General features: G+C 47.3%; 1 protein-coding gene across 1 annotated transcript, besides 5 other annotated features; it reads right to left on the reverse strand.

Annotated features, from left to right (window-relative positions):
• Positions 1-1964: 1964 nt before the first annotated feature.
• Positions 1965-8215, reverse strand: LOC124908047 (translation initiation factor IF-2-like). The gene is made up of 3 exons (XM_047446883.1): positions 8157-8215; positions 5995-6620; positions 1965-5362 (listed from the first exon to the last, which is right to left on the reverse strand). The coding sequence occupies exons 1-3, from the start codon at positions 8213-8215 to the stop codon at positions 5331-5333; spliced, it is 717 nt and encodes a 238-aa protein (XP_047302839.1). The 3' UTR covers positions 1965-5330.
• Positions 5869-6308: a silencer, noted in NCBI's record as "silent region_11932". NCBI's record gives its function as "represses an Ori minimal core promoter by ATAC-STARR-seq in GM12878 lymphoblastoid cells {active_cell/tissue: GM12878}" and the evidence as "EXISTENCE:reporter gene assay evidence [ECO:0000049][PMID:35858748]".
• Positions 8686-8885: an enhancer, noted in NCBI's record as "active region_16486". NCBI's record gives its function as "activates an Ori minimal core promoter by ATAC-STARR-seq in GM12878 lymphoblastoid cells {active_cell/tissue: GM12878}" and the evidence as "EXISTENCE:reporter gene assay evidence [ECO:0000049][PMID:35858748]".
• Positions 9026-9075: an enhancer, noted in NCBI's record as "active region_16487". NCBI's record gives its function as "activates an Ori minimal core promoter by ATAC-STARR-seq in GM12878 lymphoblastoid cells {active_cell/tissue: GM12878}" and the evidence as "EXISTENCE:reporter gene assay evidence [ECO:0000049][PMID:35858748]".
• Positions 13249-14011: an enhancer, noted in NCBI's record as "H3K4me1 hESC enhancer chr2:128172964-128173726 (GRCh37/hg19 assembly coordinates)". NCBI's record gives its function as "activates a minimal SCP1, AML or CMV promoter by ChIP-STARR-seq in naive H9 embryonic stem cells {active_cell/tissue: H9 hESC(naive)}" and the evidence as "EXISTENCE:reporter gene assay evidence [ECO:0000049][PMID:30033119]".
• Positions 14392-14451: an enhancer, noted in NCBI's record as "active region_16488". NCBI's record gives its function as "activates an Ori minimal core promoter by ATAC-STARR-seq in GM12878 lymphoblastoid cells {active_cell/tissue: GM12878}" and the evidence as "EXISTENCE:reporter gene assay evidence [ECO:0000049][PMID:35858748]".

Here is a 16116-nt window from a genome sequence, read left to right on the forward strand (position 1 = left end):
TATGGCTACAGAAATCCCTTGTTTGAGTCAATGTGGTGGATCTAGATCTGGCCGTGTCACTCCTCTACTCACAGCATTTGCTTACAGGGCTAAATTTAAACTCCAGTTTGTGGCAAGTACAGAAGGCCTCCATCATGTGGCCTCTGCATCCCCAGCTCTCCTTGTCATTGTCATCAGCCACTCTTCTCCAGCCCCCAAATTCTCAGGAGCTCCTTGGGCCCTCCCATCCTGCAGGCCTGCAGGCCTCCACGCCAAGCTCTCCTAAGACGCTCCTGGCCTTACCAGGCTGGCATGAGCCTTCCTTCTCCAACAGTGGCAGAGCACTGTGCCAGGAGGTTCTCAGAGCTTGTTACAACTCAAGGAGGCAGGTCCCACCCCCTTTTATGGGGAAGGAAACTGAAGCTCAGGAAGGTAACCTTCCAAAGGTCACATTCCCGCTTGCCTCAGCACCTTCCCTGCCCACTCTGTGCACATCTCCATTACTGCCAGGTCCTGCCCAGGTATGGCTGTTTGTATGTCTGTCTCTCTAGGTGACTGATGGCCCTTCCCCTTGCATGCGTGCTCTCCCACTACTACTATCTAAGGACATTTGCTGAGTAAGTGGATGGATGAACAGATTATGGACAAAACATTTATTTAAAAGAGCTTAAGGCCTCCATAATCAGGAATTTGGGGCTTTTGAATAAGGGCAGGAAAACTCTGGTTTAAGACCCATAGGCTAATTTCATCCAGCTCTTGACACTTAAATTAAAAGTCTACCCTTATTATTCAGACCTGTTTCTCTCCATAGCTATAAAAATGTAGCATGGTTTGACAGGCCCTTAGTAAATGCATCCTGGAGAGCTGCAGCCTTTGGGCACTCATTTCCCTTTTTAGGGCCTCAGTTTCCCATTTGCACAATAAGAGTATGGCAAACTAGCAGGAAATAACCTGCATAGAATAGAAAATTGAATGTGTCACACATAACAAGAGTGAATACTGTGCTATAAAATTTTAGGTTGAATGTGTGTCTGTATGGTAGGTCATGGTATAAAATAGACTTTTTCTTTGCTGTGGGTGGCAATCAGGAGAGTTTGAAAGCCCCAGCCTAAGATGGTCTCTGCAGCCCCTCTGGCTCTGAGCCTTAAGGATGTCATGATCGGGCCCTGGAGTGCAGCTGGATCCCTGCACAAAGACCCACCGCACCAGTGCGCGTGGCACAGTGAGAGCCCATGTTATTTGACAGTCCATCTGCGTCCACTCCACTGTTCTTCAATTGGAGAAAAGGAAACAAAAATTTTAGACATTGTTAAAAAAAAATAGAAAAGTAGACCTTTTCTGCTTTTATTATTTAATGTTTAAAGTATTAATAATAGATGCCTATGATTTTTAAAAAGTAAAAGTTTTTCCTCTCCCTCCCAACTGCAGCCTCCAGGTGTACACCCTAGAGGCAAGCTCTGCCAGTGCTGAATCCACAAGCCGTGCTCCCCACAGGGGCTCCCAGCCAAGGACTGAGAGGCCAAGCTGCCCTCCCTCTCAGAGTCTGTCTGTCCCTCTGCCCCTCACCTGGACCCTGCAGTCTGACCCCTCCTTCCCACACTGTCCCGCCTGTCAGCACAGTTCTGCAGTTTCATTTGACCAAGTTAAATCTGACTGGTGCCCAGATCTCACTTTCTCAATATCATCCTCCAGCAAAACAAGTCAGGGTTCTTAGAGAAACAATTGATTCCACGGCTGAGACAGGGAGAATACCAGATGAGCCTGGAGCATCTTGTGCCAGAATGTAAGGAAGGGATCAAAGAAGGATGGGGCATGTCCAAGGACATAGGAGCACGTAGGAGCCAACTAAGGAGCTCCCAGTATCGGGTACAGATCCCAAATCTGGTACAATTTGAGTAAAAATAATTGCAATGAATTATAACCCATAGAATAAGAGAAACATCCAAGAGTTCATACAGATATAAAAATAATGGAATAAATACACATGGAGGAAAGAGTTCTTTTTTACAGTAGAATTCCAATCAATAAATACAGAAAGAGTGATATACAAAGAAAATCACCATTTGCTAAAAACTATGGTAATAACTGTTGCAGCCAGGAATCATCAACCGATGCTAAAATGAGTAGGCAAAAATATGATGAGAAACAGGATATTTACATACTCATAAAGCATCTCCCCCACAGGACATTTATTAATTACAAAGGGAAAATAGCAACTTTCCAGTGGAGAAACTTCAGAGACACCACTTTAACCAAGTGATCCAAGCTACCATGACCAGTAATGAGACATATTATCACCCCGCCCTTGACAGTGTCCTGAGAGGCGCACAGCATCACTTCTTTGGCATTTGTGCCAAAAATGCATATCCTCAATCTAATACTGAGAAAACATCAGACAAATCCAAAGTGAGAAATGTCCTATAAAATAGCTGGCCAGTGTCACAGCGACAAGGAAAGACGGGGGAACTGCCCCACATGGGAGGAGACAAGTGCCATGTTGGATTCTGAATGGGATCCTGGACTGGAAACAGGACATCAGTGGGACCCAGGGGGCAATGGCAGGGAGAGGTGCGGGACCCAGCTGGGACATCTGCTTTCGGGACTCTGCTTTCGTCCCCAGCGGCAATCAAAGATGCACCCCTCTGCCAACCACAGCAGTCTGTGATTAGATGTAATGGAGGCTTCAGGATCAGAATGATCCAGCAACCTGGCTCTGTTTCTCTCTGATTTCCTTAATCACATCCTCTTCTGGGGCTGTCTTTGTTGTCAGGCTGCCTCCTTCCTGATAGCCAAATGGTTCTTGAAGTTTCAGTTCCCATATCTGCTTGCCACTCTGGAGGAGAATGAGGGCTCTTCTGGTAGTTCTTTCCTTAAAGAACAGGAGCACGTTTCTTCCCCAGAAGTCTCCAAACTTATCCTCATATTTCACTGGGCTGAATTTGATTACAAACCCATTCCTGAAGTAAACCTTGGGCCAGGAAATGCCATGCACAAGTTGGCAAATGCAATGGGATCACTCTCTGAAAAATCAGCTTCCCAACCCCCACTCAGGAGCTGCAGGCAAGGGGCTGAGCATGGGTCAGCTTTCCCTGAAGCATGTGTAGACAGGCAGATACCTGAACAAAACTGGGGTGCTAAAACTGGGGTGCTATTAGGAAGGAAGGGGAGAATGGAAGCTGGGTAGGCAACAGTGTCCACAACTCCAAGCAGTGTTCTCTTCTGTAATAATTGCCTTTCCTGGTGGAGTTTCCTGTGGACCAGGAGGATGCCTGCAGCAGGCACGGACTTTCTGTTTCTCCTGACGGCTGTATTTCTTACTCCCAGTGAGCCAAAGGGCACTTTCTTCTTTATACGGCAGGCTCTCAAGAGTTGATTTAGAACAAGCCAGATCAAATGTGGGGGCCCAGATAATGTCAGGTTTCTCTGTCCTGGAGAGAGGGATTCACAGTGGCAACCACCAGCTAGGAGATTTTTCAGGTCCCATGTCCTAGAGGAGGCTCCTCCAGGGCCTTCCAAGCCCCAGGATTCTGAGACCAAATAATGCCCAAAGGCCTACATAATTAAACACGTACACCCAACACATAAGCAATCTTATTTTTGCTGCTTTGTATTGTTCTCCAGCTACATTAGAATCTTCTCCAGGCCAGAGTCCAAGTCCCATCTTAATTACTCTTGGTTTTTGTTATATTTCCCCAGAAAGACCTTAAATGCTCTGGGGGATACGGACTGAAGAGGTGTTGAGAGGTAACTGCATACCTCTCACTTCTCAGGAACTGCCAGTTCCCTGGGCAGAATCAGGACCTGGGACAGACCTGCCTGCTGATGAGATGGCCCCACACCATCTGCAGGCCAGATTTGGTGCTGTGGACAATGTCGGAGGGGACAGTCTACAGGACAGCCAACGGCTTTCAAAAATTCTGATATGATCAACTGGTGACACTACTCAGAAGACTGTGTTAAGAATTCCGAATTGGGGCCGGGCAAGGTGGCTCATGCCTGTAATCCCAGCACTTTGGGAGGCCAAAGCAGGTGGATTGCTTGAGCCTAGGAGTTCGAGACCAGCCTGGGCAACATGGAGAAACCCCATCTCTATTAAAAATAGAAAAATTAGCTGGGTATGGTGGTGTGTGCCACTTAGGAGGCTGAGGTGGGAGGATCACCTGAGCCTGGGATTCAGAGGTTGCAGTGAGCTGAGATCGCGCCACTGCACGCCAGCCCACAGAGTGAGACCCTTCCTCAAAAAAAAAAAAAAGAAGAAGAAGAAGAAAGAAAAGAATTTGAATTGGGTACTAGGCATAGTACCTGGGTGATGAAATAATCTGTACCACAAACCCCCATGATACAAGTTTACCTATATAACAAACCTGCACATACACCGTGAACCTAAAACAAAAGTTTACCAAAAAAAAAAAAAAAAGAAAGAAAAGAAAAGAAAAAGAAAAAAAATTTCAAGACCTAGATCAGAAATCAGCTCCTTGGCCAGGCATACTGGCTCATGCTTGAGCAAGGCAGGAGGATTGCTTGAGCCCAGGAATTTGAGACCAGCCTGGGCAATACTGTGTGACTTCATCTCAAAAAAAAAAAAAAAGGAAAAAAAATTATATATAAAATAAAGCATTCTGAGGCTTCATCCACTCCTCACTCCTCAGAGAAGTACTGAAGCTAGCTAGAGATTTCTGCAGGGTGTGGAATGGGGAGAAAGGCAGCGTGACTGTGTGTCACATTTGTTTCTGACACCTTTTTGTAGGTCTGAAATGCTTTTAAATAAACATTTTTAAGTAATATATACGTGACAAAAATTCAAACAGCAGCAAAGTACAGTGAAAAGTCCTCCCTCATCCCCAGTGCCCTCCCACCCCAGGTAATCACAGTTACCAGGATTCAATGCACATCCAAACACAAACAAACACAAACCATGGTGTGTTTATTGCCCATGGAGGCTCTGTCTCAGGTCCCTGGGAATCATTGGGAGTTGTGGATCCCAGCACTTTGGGAGGCTGAGGCAGGAGGATCGCTTGAGCCCAGGAGTTTTTTGAGACCAGCTTGAACAACATAGTGAGACCCCATCTCTACAAAAAATTAAAAAATTAGCCAGGTGTGGCGGTCCATGCCGGTAGTCCCAGCTACTTGGGAGGCTGAGGCAGGATGATCACTTGCACCTGGGACGTTGAGGCGGCAGTGAGCCGTGTTCGCGCCACTGCACTCCAGCCTGGGTGACACTGCAAGACCCTGTCTCAAAAAAAGTAGTCAAGGAGGCTGAGAGCCAGGAAGCCTCTGGCCAGCAGGTGAGCAGGCCCTTTCCTGCTGCTGTGCATTGTATTTAAGAGAAAAGACAGATACGTCTGATACCTTCAAAGGTGTTCTTCATACAGCAGGTTGCAACCTATTAATAGATCATAAAATCAGTTTAGTGTTTCATCATCATCATCAAAAACCACCACCAACAACAAAAAGACCCAGAACAGATAGTGTAAAGAGTGCATCCCTGCATTCCTGTATAGGGAGAAATATGGTTTTGTGGAACCTTGTTGCGATGTAAAGTGTACTTCTTAAGATAAATACAGGGTTGAGGTTTTTGAAATAAAGTTTGAACAGGACCACCTTAAGCCACAGTGTAGACTTTCCATAGGCCAAAACCTGGATCACCAAGACAGTGTGCCCCAGGCTGCAGGCCACACTCCTGGGAGCCTCAGGCAACCTTGTGCAGGCCTGACTTCGAGACACTCTGAGCATGAGCTGGTTCCTGGGTAGCCTCCCCTCTACCTCTCCCCGCTTGCCCTCCCTCCCTCCTTCTGCTCCTGTCTCTCCTCATCCCCTCCCCGAGTTGCTGCCTCCTCCTCCTCCTCCCCCACCACCTCTCCCCGTCTCCGAGTTGCCTGCCCCGCCCCCTCCTCTTCCCCCTGCCCCTCTCCGCGTCCTTCCCGCCTTCCCCCTCCTCGTCTCCCCCCTCCCCGCCCGCGCCGTCTGCGTCCCTCCCGGGCCCAGACGCGGCGCGGTCAGGGGGCGCTGACTCACAGGCTGACTCAGCTGCAGGCGCGCTGCCAGGCGACGCAGCGGGCGGGTGGCCGGGCGCCGGCGGGCTCGCAGCCGGGCTGCTGGCAACGGTGCCGGCGGAGGTGGGGGCGTGGCGCGGGATGGGCGGCGCGGGCCCTGCCGTGGTACCGCCTGGCAGCGTCCACCCCGCCGCTGGGGCGCCCTGGAGGCTCCTGGCCCTCCGTGGGGCCGTGACACCGGCGCTGCGGGGAGCGGTGGCCTCGCAGAGGCTGGGCATGGGAGGACGGCCGCCCCGGGTAAAGGACAGGGCCCTGGAAACGCGGGTCTGCCGGGAGCAGGGGACAGGAAGGAGACCGCGGCTCTCCCAGTCCTGCTGCCCCGGGCCTCCAGACGGCCAGACTCTCCCCACACCGGCCTGGAGGGGGACGCGCCGACCCCAGCTGGGAGGGGTGGCTGGCTGCGTAGATCCGTTTGGGCCGCCTGCCTGGAAAGGCCCAGGTCCGGGCCTCGTCCTCCTCTTCACACTCTCCCCCGATCTCCAACCACCTTCACCCTCGCCCCCACCACCACCACCCCCAGCTCCTCCTGGCCGCCTGCGGTCCAGCTGAGGCCCGCCTCCTCCAGGAAGTCTTCCTGGAGAGCCTGTCCTGGGTTAGGCCCGCCCAGAGCCACCTGGGGCGACTTATTTCATGGCACCTTCGACCTTGCTCTCTGTCTGTTTTGTGTCTGGCTTCATCACCAAACTGAGCCTCTTGGGGGCAGTGACCGGGTCTTAGGTCTTAGTTGGCCCTTAGGCGCTAGGGCTGAGAAGACTTAGGCGGACAGGAGATGAGACTGTGTATTCGACGACACACTTTAGAGATCCAGCCCGGAACACAGCCATACCAGATTTTAAAAAAAGCCAACATAATATAGCATGTTAAAAATTATTGTAGGCCGGGAGCGGTGGCCCACGCCTGTAATCCCAGCAATTCAGGAGGCTGAGGCCGGAGGATCACTTGAGCTCAGGAGTTTGAGACCAGCCTAGGCAACCAACATAGTGAGACTCCGTCTGTACAAAAATGAAAAAAAATTAGCCGAGCGTGGTGGCCTGCACCTATAGTCCCAGCTACCTCGGGAGGCTGAGGAGGGAGGACCCTTTGAGCCCCAGGAGGTCCAGGCTGCAGTGAGCTGTGATGGTGCCACTGTACTCCAGCCTGTAAGACAAAGGGAGAGACCCTGTCTCTAAAAAATAAAAAATAAATAGTATACACATATGGTGCTTATTTGAAATATACATATTGTGTATTTTTTACCTTCTATATAAATGCTATTATTTAAAGAAAACAATATGATTAGTTCACAGTGGCAATTAGTAATAATAGGACTAATAACAAATAATATGTGTGAGAAAAATATAAAAATAGTTTTATAATGTTTCTTCCTGTCCTGTGATTTAGCAATTTATTTTAAGTCATTATTAGATACTTAAATTTTGTATCAAAATACATAAATGTAAGACTTTTAAAATGGTGAATGTAATATAACAGCAGTATTTAAACAGATATTACTAATATTTAATCAAAAATAACAATGACGGGCTGGGCGTGGTGGCTCATGCCTGTAATCCTAGCACTTTGGGAGGCCGAAGCGGGCCGATCACTTGAGGTCAGGAGTTTGAGACCAGCCTGGCCAACATGGTGAAACCCTGTCTCTACTAAAAAAACAAAAATTAGTCGCCCGTGGTGGCACCCACCTGTAGTCCCAGGTACTCAGCAGGCTGAGGCAAGAGGATTGCTTGAACCTGGGAGGTAGAGGTTGCAGTGAGCCAAGATCACGCCACCGCACTCCAGCCTGGGCAAGAGTGAGACTCCGTCTACAAAAAAAAAGACATTTTGGTCCTATGATATAGTAGGATATTTTGACTCTTTTTATTTCCTTGCCTGCAGCCTTTAGTAGGAAGTTCTTCCTTGATGTAGTGATGAAACTGAATATAGTTAAATGGAAAATCCTTTGACTTGCAGCTCTGCTCTTAGAGAGCCCTCAGTACACTGACTCCTGAGGTCAGTCCAATGTGATGGCCTCAAGCTGCTATCTCAACAAAAGCGTTTGAGAATGGAATACTTAGGATTGTACCTACAAGCAACGGCAGGGTTTTAGATTTGTAGGGATTCGTTTCCAGCTGTCCAAAGATGTCCATTCACTTTGCATCTGCAGGCTGGTTTTGGTAAACCAGCAGTTTGTCATCTTTTGCATCTATCATGTAGGATATCCATGGCTAAGATATCCATCCTTTTTGAACTTTTTTTTTTTTTTTGAGTTGGAGTCTTACTCTGTCGCCCTGGCTGGAGTACAGTGGCGTGATCTCGGCTCACTGCAACCTCAACTACCCAGGTTCAAGTGATCCTCCGGCCTCAGCCTCCCAAGTAGCTGGGAGTACAGGCGCGTGCCACCACGCCTGGCTAATTTTTGTATTTTTAGTAGAGACAGGGTTCGCCATGTTGGCCAGGTTGGTCTCGAACTCCTGACCTCAGCTGATCCACCCACCTCGGCCTCCCAAAGTGCTGGAATTATAGGCGTGAGCAATGGCACCCGGCCCTTTTTGAACATTTCTGAGCACACTGGATGTCACTGTAAGTTAAACCTCTCTCTGTCTCTCTCCTTCTCTGTCTGTGTTTCTCTCAGGAAAAATAGTTTTAAAGCACAAAGATACTTTGAACTTGTGAAGTTGAAGTTGAAGTTGAATTCCAAATAAGTTACAGTTTTAGTAAAGAAGTGAGAAAGTCTTGTTTAAATTGGCTGTCCTTTTCTGGTGACATTTTGGTTTCGTTTCCAAAAAATGAGTCATTTTTCATTATATGAGCTTTGTCAGTACCTACCTATAACATCGACAACTCAGGGACAGTCAGTTCATGCTTTTCCAGAGCCCTTATGGGCTCCTCAAAGATCATCAGGCAGTTTTGGAGGAAGAACTTATAAATTTCAGTTTGACTGTTTAACCATAATCTTTTTCTCTATTTTCATTCTTAATATATTTCCAAATTAGACAAGGACATTCTTCTTGTCCCATGCTTTGAAAATATGGTTGTATGGCAGGCTGCCTTTTTACCCTGGCAACAGTGACAGCCCTCGTGTAGGCACATGTCCAAAGGAGGCCATCTCCTTCCATTTCTGGAATGTGAAAAATCTCATTAAGTGCTTTTTCATGCTTTGAGGAAACTGAAAAGTAAATAAAAGCTTTCATTTTGAAAGCATCAATATCACAGGGAAGGAAACTCCACCCCTTTTTACTGATGTGTACAAAATGTGCAGGACACTTCGTGGCTAATATTTTTAACTTTTCTTTGGTAAAGCGTTCATAGACTGCATGGAATTTGCAAAAATTTACATTTGCACGGTCTGCCAAATAGGCAGACAGATGGGCAAAGTCATGTTTGTATTTGGACAAGATAGCATCAACATTCTTTTTTTTTTTCTGCAGGTGGATTAAAATCTTCATAGAAATAAAAAGGATGATTTGAAACTCCATTTTTTCAAATCAAAGTATTTACAAGTTAGGAGAACTGTTTTTCATTGCCATGATTGGATGCAGCACTTGGTTACTGTAGAAAGCATGATTGTTGGTGGGATCTGGCAGAATCCGCTGCATGTTGTAAAGGGTCAACACAGCTGCCATCGACATTTCTCCCTTTGTTCACCCACGTGATATTTCAGTTACAGCCTGTAAATGAGGAAATGTGCCCCTACTCAGTTTCAAAAAACAATCAAAGGAGCAGCACAATCACACAAATTCATTTTTGTAGTTTGCCCTAGCTAATTCAGCAGCCACTATTTTCAATTGGTGTCTTTTGTGGAGACAAAAAGCTTTTTGGTTAATGTGGACATACTTGCCTATCTCACTGAGGACTTGTGAGGCAGTCTCTACAGTCCCTTCTTCCACCATGCCCAACCCCGAATTCTCTCTGCTTATTGCGCAGTATCCCTTGTTTTGATTCTTTACCTCCCTCATCCAGTTGTCTGTGTCACTCCTCCTGTCGTTAAAATAACATGGCCATTTGGGTCACGCGGGCATTGATATTGCAACACCATTTCCTCATTTTCATCACCTGAATGCTTAAGAAAACATGGCCTCAGTAGTCACCATGCTAAAATTAAACTAGCAGTGTCTCAATACAAAGCACAACAATTAATCCGCAGGCAAAGTGGATGGTCACGTTCAAGATTATAGCGCGCTTAAGTTACATCACAAGGAGTGACATAATAATGGATGATCCACTATGGTGTACTACAAATCATGGTGGTTGTCCTCAGCAACAGACACTAAGGAAGGTGATGTGCCCATTTGGCACTAAAACCAGTGTTGCCTTCGGCCTCTGTTTCTGGGGTTGCCATGTGGGTTTTATACCTTTCCCCTAATCTCCTGTATCAATCACTGAAAACCTCGACTTTTCTCTTCCCAAGGGAGAGTTTACTTCCCTTTAACTTTTTGGCTTCTTCTTTAGGACTTTTAGTGTTAAAAATGGTACAATCCCAGACAAATGGGATAGTTGATCATCTTATCATGTTTATAGAATCAAGAAATAATGTCTCAATTTAAAAAGTCAATTGTATTTATAAACACTAGCAACAAACAATTGTAAGTTCAAATTTTTAAAATGCCACTTACAATAACATTTTTAAAACATGAAATAAGTAGGGATAAATTTAACAAAATATGTTCAAGACCTATACCTGAAAACAATTAAACATTGGAGAGAGAAATTAACAAAGAGCTGAATAAATGTAGAGAAATACCATGCTAATAGATGAGAAGACTCAACATTAAGATGTCTTTTATTCCTAAATTGTTCTATAGATTCAATTCAATCCAAATCAAGATTTCACCAGGAATTTTTTTTTTAGAAATTGAGAAATTGGTTCTAAAATTTATATAGAAGTAGAAAGGACCTAGAATAGCCAAAACAATTTTGAAAAATAAGAACAAAGTTGGAGGACTTACACTACTTGATTTCATGAGTTACTTGAATCTTGTAATAGCAATTAAGACATTATAATGTTGGCATAAAAATGAAAGATAGATTAACAGAACAAAATAGAGTCCAGAAGTAGATGTATGCATATACGGTCAATTGATTTCAACAAAGCACCAAAGCAATTCAATGGGAGAAAGGATAGTGTTTGCAAGAAATGGGACTGTGACAACTAGATCTCCATATATTTTAAAGAATGATTCTTGGCCCCTACCTCACACCATATACCAAAATTAACGAATTCAAAATGGGTCAGAGATGTAAATGTAAGAGTGAAAAACCATAAAGCTTCTAGAAGAAAACATAAGAGAAAGCCTTTGTGACCTTGAATAAGGCAGTGTTCTTTGGTAGGACACAAAAGCACGAATCATAAAAGAAAATGTTGATAATTGGACTTCATCAAAATTACAAACATCTGTTCATTAAAAGACACTGTTAAGTATAAAAGACAAGTCACAGACTGAGAGGAAATTTTTGCAAAATACTTAGCTGACAAAGGGCTTGTTACTAGGATACATACAAATTCTAAAAACTCAATTTAAAAAACCCTCAAAAACAAAGAAACAAACAAAAAACAGCCCAAAGACTTAAACTGGCACTTCACCAAAGAAGATATAAATAGCAAATTAGCACAGGAAAAGATGCTCAAAATCACCAGAGAAGAGGGAAATGAAAATTAAAGCTACAATGAGATACCACTACACATCTATTAAGAAGGCTAAAAATTGAAAATTAAAATTAAAAAACAACCGACAACACCAAATGCTGGTGAGGATGCAGAGCAACAGGAACACTCAGACATTGCTTGGTGGGAATGCAAAATGCCACCACCACTCTGGAAAAGTTTGACTTTATTTTTTTTTCCCAAAAGTAAACACGTACTCACCACATGACTCAGCAATCTTATTCCTAGATATTACCCAAGAGAAATGAAAACATATGCCCACACAAGGACCTATACATAAATGTTCTAGCAGCTTAATTTAATGATAGCCAAGAACTGGCAAATGGATAACAGATTGTGGCACATCTATATAATGGAGCCCAGTCAGCAATAAAAAGAAATAAAGTACTGATATAGAATTCCACATGAATAAATCTCAAAAGCTTTATGCTGAGTGAAAGAAGGTAGTCTTAAAAAGCTATGTACTGGTTGGGCACGGTGGCTCACGCCTATAATCCCAGCACTTTGGGAGGCTGAGGTGGGCGGATCACTTGCGGTCAGGAATTCAAGACTAGCCTGGCCAACATGGTGAAACTAAAAAATACAAAAATTAGGCAGGTGTGGTGGCGTGTGCCTGTAATTCCAGCTACTCAGGAGGCTGAGGCAGGAGAATCACTTGAACCCAGGAGGTGGAGATTGCAGCGAGCTGAGATCACACCACTGCACTCCAGCCTGGGCAAGAGAGCAAGACACCAACTCAAAAAAATATATATATGTGCTGTAGGATTCCCTTTATATGCTATTCTAGAAAATGCAGATTATAGAGATAGAAATCCAATCAGTGGTTGCCAAGAGTTGGGGTGGAACACAGAATTTCTGAGGGTGATGAAAATGTGTATATCATGATGTGGTGGTGGATGCACTATAACATACATTTGTCAAAACAAGCAGAACTGTACATTTTTAAAGTGTGAGTTTCCCTGTGTGTAAATTATACCACAATAACCTGACAACAACAAAAGAGAGAGACGTTGGACTGCATCCATCCCACTCCACTTCTTACCAGGGAGCTCCCGGGAGCCTCTCTAGTGTCTGTCCTCCCTGCCCTGCCTGGGGTGGGCTGAGCAGCACAGCGTCCCTGCAGAGAGAATGGAGAATGGGCAATGCCCACACAGGGGAGTGGCATGGGGTGAGAAGGAACCTTAGTCCCGTCAGCCCTGACCACCAGCCCATCTCTCATCACTGTTCAGCAGAGTGAGCTCAAGTTGGGTTTCTGGCATCTATTGGCAGAGCCAGGGCCAAAACGCAAGGGGTGGGGAGTGTTGTACAGGTTAGGGCTGACTGAATGATCAGCCCTAATCTGTACAACGGATCTGTGCAGTCTGAGCTTCCACACAGCAGCAGCTGTCCTTGACCCCTTCCCCTCCTAGTCGGCCCCTCCCTGACCTTCCCAGGCCTGTGGGAAGTCCTGTTAAGTCCCAGGCCATGTCCACTTTGTATAAAATACTTAAAAATAAGGCCAGGCACAGTGGCTCCCGCCTGTAATCTCAGCACTTTGGCAGGCTGAGGAGGGAGGATCACTTGAGGTCAGGAGTTCTAGAGCAACACAGCAAGACCTCCTCTCTCCTAAAAATTTTTAAAAATCAGCTGGGCGTGGTGGCACGGGCCTGTGATCCCAGCTACTGAGGTGGCTGAAACAGAAGAATCGCTTGAGCCCAGGAGATCTAGGCCGCAGAGAGCTGTGATCCCGCCACTGCACTCCAGCCTGGGTGACAGAGCCAGAGAGACCCTGTTTCAAAACTTTTTTAATTAAAAAATTAATAAAAGATTTAACGTGACCCTTATAACAGTCACCTGAGACGGACGCTGACCCCATTTTACAAATGTGGACATTGAGACACAGGGAAGTTAAATCCCCCTGTCAGAAAAAGGCTAGCGGAGGTTTAAGGCCGTGGGAACGTGACTCCAGAGCTGAGGGCTTTGGAACCCCGCCTGCTCCGGTAGTTGTGGCTGGCCTTGCCCCACACACATTTGGTTCTAGCTCCTTTGCTTGGGTCTTCATCCATGCAGCGAATTCCTTAGCCACAGGTGTCCCTCTGCTCTCTAACTCACAGCGAGCTCGCTGCCCAAAGTCCTGCTCCGGCTTCCTGGGTGGACCTGACCGCGTTCGGGTGCACGTGGGGCGACTCACACCTGACAAGTAAAGCGGGTGAGGCCGCGCCTGTGAAGGGCGCCTGGCTCCTCCGCAGGAGCGGTGCGGCGCGGCGCCCCCGGCTGGAACCAGGTGTAACTGCAGAGACCCTGGGATCGCAGGAACGGCTGGCGGCAGGACTGTCCCTACCTCGAGAAGGTGACGGGGTTTCCTGCGCTGCCAGCCGATGAGGCGGCCGTGACGCAGCCCGCCGTGCAGAGTCCCCGTCGGCCGACAGGCGTGCAGAGCTCTGCAGAGGACCCTTCCGCCCTCTGGGCAGCCTGCCAAGCCGTGGCACCCCCAACCCCCAGCACTGGGCACTTGGGAGCATTGCAGCCGCCCTGGCTCGTACCGGTGCCGGTGCTTTGGGCACCTGGGCTGGTTTGGACATGGGTGCCCCGGGCAGAGTCCATTTATGCAGGTCAGAATCAGTGTGTGGAGCCTGCATAGACTTGCCCTGGAGCGGCTGCCTGTGCTGGGGTGGGGAGGAGTAGAGGGCGAGAAGTTGGTGGGGAAGGGAAGCGGCGCCAAAAGAATACCCACAACATCTTGCACCTGGAAGGCAAAGCAGAGGGCAGTGATCTCTGCAGACTTGCGGGGGCGACGCCTGAAGCAAACAGGGACATACAAGCTGGTGCCTTCTGTGGTTGTGCATGGGGTCTTCATGCTTCCTGTCTGAGTTCCCAGAAGCTTGTCTCTGCTTTTCTAGGCAGCTGCCACAGCCTGTCACAAACAGCTCCTGGTTCTCCACTTCTCATAGTCTCGATTTCAAAATCCATTGCCTCACCCTCCACCTCCTCTCCACCTCCACCCCTCCTAGCACCTCCTGACTGCTTGTGTTCTGTGTCTCCCCACTGTCTCCCAACCTGGGGTGGGGTTGGGGGGGATGTCTTTCCTCCTGTCTGCTCTTTGATGTCCAGCTGAAGTGTCACCTCCTACAGGCAGCCTCCCCTGGCTATGCCAGCTTGTACTGATTGCCCTCTCCTCTGAATTCTGTAAGCATTTCCTATGTGTACCTGCCCCTGGGCAAGGTGGGCCTGACTTGTTAGAGTGTTAGAGTTTTACCCTGTTCCTCTAGGAGGGCCTGGTACCACCACAGCCCAGCATGGTGTGGTGCCTCAGCAGGAGGCATCTGGTTACAATCAACACAAGCTGTTCCAGCCAATTTAAAGAAACTTCAGGAGGAATAGGGTTTTAGGAGGGCATGGGGACCCTCCTGCACCCGAAGCCAGGATGTGCCACCAATCATAAGGAGGCAGGGGCCTCCTTCCGCTGCTCCCTGGGACTCTCTAGGTGTCCGTGGCCTCAGTCCCCCTCTGCACACCTGCATCTTCCTTCTCATCAGCTTCCTCTGCTTTAAGCGTAAACATGGATGCCCAGGACCTGGCCTCAATCTTCCGAGTCTGGTACTTATGGTGTACTGACAGTGTGAGACCCTACTCCTCTGATCAATCCCCTGGGTTGGTGACTTCCCTGTGCAATCAATGGAAGCCAGCGAGGCAGGGTCACATGCCCCGTTTAGAGGTGCAGACTTGGAGAAGGAACGTGGGCAAGTCTTCCCAGGAACAGGTAGGGCAGGGAGGAAAGGGGGGCATCTCTGGTGCAGCCCGGTTCGGAGCAGGAAGACGCTTAATAAATGCTGATAGACTGCAGGACACAGGCAAAGGTGCTGAGCTGGACCCTTTATTTCTGCCCTTCTCCCTTCTGGCACCCCGGCCAGGAAATTGCTGCAGCCTTTCTGGAATCCCGTTCATTTTTCTTACTGGTCCACAAAAGGGGCCAAATGGAAGCAGCAAGACCTGAGTTCAAATTAAATCTGCCAACTACCAGCTCAGTGAATCTGGGCGAGTAACACAAAACTTGAGTGTCCTTACCTGAAAAATAGAGGTTAGAGGGATGCTATGTGCCATTGTGTGTGTGTGTTGGGGGTGGGGATTGGGGGTGATTTGTGAGCAATTGGAGGTGAGGGTGGAGCCCAGTGCCCAGCACCTATGCACTGGGGACCCAAAAAGGAGCATCTTCTCATGATTTTATGTATCAGAAATTGGGATGGCATGTCATTGGGACAGCGTCTTTTTTCTTGTATGGTGGCACATAAATACATGTGTCTTATAATTAATGGTATTTTAGATTTGACGAAATATGGAATATTACCTGTTGTGCTGATCTTGGGCAAACTATAATATCTCTGGGCAAAAATGTCCCCATCTGAAAAACAGGGACAACGTTCCTCCCTCAGCCAGCCACTATGGGGCTAAAATGAGACCACATCTGTCAAG

Source organism: Homo sapiens, chromosome 2, assembly GCF_000001405.40.
Source record: "Homo sapiens chromosome 2, GRCh38.p14 Primary Assembly".
In the NCBI taxonomy this organism is placed as follows: domain Eukaryota; kingdom Metazoa; phylum Chordata; class Mammalia; order Primates; family Hominidae; genus Homo; species Homo sapiens.